The 4,859-nt window shown below is 37.8% G+C and overlaps 1 annotated feature.

The window, feature by feature from the left end:
• Nucleotides 1,162-1,663: an enhancer, noted in NCBI's record as "NANOG hESC enhancer chr12:83726841-83727342 (GRCh37/hg19 assembly coordinates)". NCBI's record gives its function as "activates a minimal SCP1, AML or CMV promoter by ChIP-STARR-seq in naive H9 embryonic stem cells {active_cell/tissue: H9 hESC(naive)}" and the evidence as "EXISTENCE:reporter gene assay evidence [ECO:0000049][PMID:30033119]".

Consider the following 4,859-nt stretch of genomic DNA (forward strand, 5'->3'; position numbering starts at 1 on the left):
TCATTTAGAAAGGGATGAGGAGGCAGTGACTGGTGTGTTGTGCACATGGATAGGCAATGGTGGGCTGTCAAGTGTTTAACAGCTTGCTCTCTAAAAACCAAAGTTCTGATCTGTAGTATTTGCCAGTTTCGTAGTGTAAACACTCTCACCAGTGTTGATTTCAGACATTACTTAAAGCAGTATCGGGAAGAGATACGCAGCAGTCTTTCAATATAATATAATATTTCCATTCTGCAGATACAATTGAGGCAAATAAACCCAAGACCATAAACATAGAAAAATGTAGAAAGTAGTAAGGGATACACAATTATTACCTTCATTTACAATACAATTTATTTAAGCATAAACTTATATATTTCAATATTTAATAATTACTTGTTTAAAACCAGCTGGCACAATTCCTGAAAATGTAATGACCTACTCTCACAAACTGGTACAGACTGGCTACATCACATCACTAGAAGAGGGGTAAATAGTGGGCTAGGAGGCTGTTGCCTCAATTCAGATGTAGAGCCTGGGCCATAATGGAGACGGAGACCAGGAAATGGAGGACAGCTTGAGATGATACTAAGGACAGAAGAGAAAAATGAGAAACTGTTCAAGGCAAGAGAGGTCTCTTCTTTAAGAGATAGAAAACTATAATCAAATGTGAATACGATATCTGGAATTGAGAGCAAAATTGGAAAGTCCATTTGGTCTGGATCAAAGTGCTGCTAAATTTGTAAGAATTTTGGTAAATTAATAACAGATAAAGATGGTGGTAAAAGAGGGACTCAAAGCTAAATACTTTAACCCTATGGGAGTCAAGGCTATGAGAGGGAAGTTAGTGAATATAGACAAGTCTTTTAGAAGAGTGTGCATATTTTAAATGTTGGAGAGACTTGAATTTATTTTAATAAAAAAAGAAACCAGTGTAAGAAGTAAGGTTAAGGTTACTAGAATGGTATAATTTGCTGTGTATTGAATCTAATTTTTCTGTTAAGAACTCAGAAGATAGAAATCAGTGCTTAAAATGAGCTCTTTCCAATGTGATGTTGTATCATCTGAAAACGCAATAACTAATAAGAATTTCTTATTAAAAAGACAAGATTAATACCTAGAGAGTTTGGAAAAGCTGGCCTAATGACCACAATTTCTTCTTCTTCTTCTTCTTTGCTGTTTATACTTTAACCTGGTGAGCCTAAAGAGATATTTTAAAATGGGCTCAATTAAACTTATTGGCTGTTAATTTAGAATTCGTTCCGCATCATACTCTCTTTCTTAAGAGAGTTTTGTTAGGTGAATTTAAAAAGAACTTAGTGTTGCAGAACTATTTATTGGCCCACACTTCAAAAACAAAATGCAATTTCTTTTGAGACTCTATTGTTGAAGAGCCCTGGAGGCCTGTTGTGTTGTGAAGTACTCTGTCTTTTTTCAAAGACTGATGTTCCACATCTTCCATGATTGAGCAAGAAAGTGACAGCAGGCTTGTTGTAAATTTACAGGTCAACAGACACTCAGTGGTGTAAATTACATTACTTTGAAGGGTACATCTATTGCTGATCTCTTTGGAAATCTAATTTTACTCAATAAATTCCTTCCATCTTACAAATATTATTTTCAAAGAAGAGGTGACATGGCTTTAGAGAATAGAAGCATCCATAGCAGGATACAACAAAGGGAAGAAAAATGTAACTTTATTTTAACTATGTGTTTAAGGATCTAAGTCTCTGTTATTGTCGCTAAATATCCACATCCAAATTAGCTTATCATTTTCGCCTACTGTGAATGAGGAAGGGTACAGAGCAAAGTTAGAGATTCCATTAAAGTGCTGAATAGGATTGGTTATTTAGAAATCAATATCAAGAAATTACTGAGTTATTTGTATAGACCCAGATTCCATCTTTCTCCTCCCTTTATGTGGCAATTTCATTTAAAAGTGATGTGGTACATTTCTAATTGATACATATTTTTGTGGTGAGTGTGTTAAAAAAAACGGTAGTTATCTATCTACTAATTTCTAATATGGGAAAGGAGAGTTAAAGAGTTTTTTGGCTGTAGTCTCAAAAGCCTCTATTGGTAATTCTTGCAAACTTTAAGGAAGGACATAGTGAGGAACATTAGACAGGTTAGGAAATATGATAGGCAGCATCTAAGGTGGCCCCCTATGATGTCTGCCTCTTGATGTTAACGCCCATGGGTAATCTTCTGCCCTTGACTGTTGGCTGGACCTATTAACTTCCTTTTAGTGAATATAATGCAGAAAAAATGATGGGCTGTCACTTCAGAGATGAGTTACAAAAAGATTCTACTTCTGTCTGTACTATTTGTCCTCTCTTATTATCTCACTTGCCCTAAACAATTAGTTTCCTAGTTATGTGTTGTCCTATGAAGAGGTCCATGACAAGAAACTGAGGGTGATCTCTGACAGCAGCAAGAAACTAAATTCTGCTGGTACTCATAAGAGTGAGCCCGGAAGCAGATTCCCCTAGTCAAGCCATAAAAGATGACTGCAGCCCCAGCTGACACTTTGATTATAATCTGTGAATGACCCTGAGCCAAAGGAACCTCCTAAATAGTATCCAAATACCTTACCAGCAGAAACTAAGAGAGTTTCTAGTTTGGAAATGAGCCTTTTTTAGGCCACTCAGTTTTGGTGAATATGTTATATAGCAATAGATAGCTAACACTGAGTCAATACCTATTTATTTCTAGTTTATGTCCACCATCTTGCACAAATAGGGACCTAGTAATTTCCTGTTGAACCAAATTAGTTCCTCAGTAATGATTGTATCAACCAGGAGGTAGGTGGGAAATAGAAGATAACTCAAAATGAATAACTGAGAATGGTTTAATAAAGGGACTAATGAATGAAGAATGGGAAGAGTTATAGAAACTAACAATGGAAAGTGAAATATTGAGAATCGAACCTTAGTGGACGCTGTCAACAACCTGCAGGCCTAAAAGGGCCAGAGGGAACGGTACTATGGAAGCGGACAAGGATTTCTGTTCCAAGGATTTCTGTTTTTCTGTGTGTGTGTGTGTGTATTTAAATTAAAGGTGAGAACATTTTGTAAATGTTTTATTTCTTGCTTGTTGCCATTTGACTTTCTACTCTGGGTGTGTGAATAGGTATATAACAGGAATATATGAGCGATACAGACATATATGCACATACTCCTGTTAAAAACTTTTAGAATGCCATTTTAATGACAGTATTCACTACAGATGTTGTTTTACTTGATGTTATCAGCTTGGATTTTGGAGTATAATACATTTACATTAATAATGTTGATGCAGGATTTTTCTTGGCCCCTTTGCTCAGCCCACCATTCTCAACCCCTTGCAGGAGCGAGCATGTGGGTGAGTGAATGTGAGATCCTGCTGGCCATTGCAGGTGCTGGCAGGAACAAGCTCTGTGCAGGGCTCATGGTGGTACCCAGGTTGGGGAGCCTACAACCCCAAAGCCCCAGAGGGGTGTTACAGTGCTCTCTTAGCTCTGCTGTCCATGGATGGCAGTGTGTTAGCAGCTCAGTTGGCCCCTTGCCTCATCACATGGGGTGGCTGCCCTCTGCCAGTGAGAGCAAAGGGCTGATGTGACAGCTTTTTTGGGTACCTGCACTTGGTGGTTCCCAAGCTCTTGTCTGGCATCGAAGAAGAATGAGGTTGTGCAGACAATTGAAGGATGGTGAAGGTGGAAAATTTTATTGAGCAATGAAAATGGCTCTCAGCACAGAGGAGAGCTGGAGAGGGGGTGGGAAGGGCAGGTCGTTGTCCTCAAAGTCAGATCATTTCTTTCCCAAAGTCTGTCTGTCTGTCTGTCTGTCTGTCTCTCTCTCTCTACCAACTGAATCTGGGGTCTTTATAGACACAGGATGGGGGTGGGGTGGGCTGTAGGCAGTTTTGGAAAAGGCAACATTTGATTGGTAAAAAGGCATTATTCAGAAAGAACCAATCAGGAGAGAGTGAGCAAGCTGGATAGAAGTTCTCACTTTGGGCCGCAGGTTTCAGGCTGGTTTTTTTTCTTTTTTTTTGGCTTGAAGGTGGGGTTTCGCCAGGGACCTTCCTTATCTGCCTAGACATTTGGCTGCTTCCTGTCATTATCAGTGTAGCTCCATAATCTACTACCTACATGATTTTGAAAAAATTGTCTAAATGCTGGAAATAATAATTGTTCCATTTTATTGAATGCTTGCTGTTAGCTGGTCTGTTCTAAGTGCTTTACAAGTTTTAAATCAATTTTTCTCTTTTGACAAATAAAAACTCTGAGGCATAAAGAAATTAATAATTGCTTGAAGGTATAGGATGAGAAAATGGTGAAACCAGGATTAAACTTTAGGCAGTTGGCCTCCACAGCCTGTGCTGTTAACAATGCCATTACACTGCTACATAGTATTAAGATAGCATACTTCTCAGACCGTGAGTATAAGGTTCAAATGAGATAGTGCATAGAGTAAGCAAACACTATATAGCATTTTATCAATAGTTTGCTACCTTAAAAACTAATTGTGGTAAAATACACATATTAAAACAATAGAATTTTTAAGTGTACAGTTTAGTGGCATTAAGTATATTCACATTGTTGTGCCATCACCACTACTATCCATCTCCAGAACTCTTTTCATTTTGTAAAAGTGAAACTCTGTATCCAATATATAGAGTTTAACAATGCCTCCTCATTTTCCTTTATGCCTAGACCCTGGCAACCACTTTTTGTCTCTATGAATTTCATTACTCTAGGTATCTCATCTAAGTGAAATTATATATTAGTTGTTTTTGACTGGCTTATTTCACTTAGCCTAATGTTCTCAAGGTTCATCTGTATTGGAGCATGTGTCAGCATTACTTCCTTTATAAGGCTTAATGACATTCCATTGTTT

This window comes from Homo sapiens, chromosome 12, assembly GCF_000001405.40.
Source record: "Homo sapiens chromosome 12, GRCh38.p14 Primary Assembly".
In the NCBI taxonomy this organism is placed as follows: domain Eukaryota; kingdom Metazoa; phylum Chordata; class Mammalia; order Primates; family Hominidae; genus Homo; species Homo sapiens.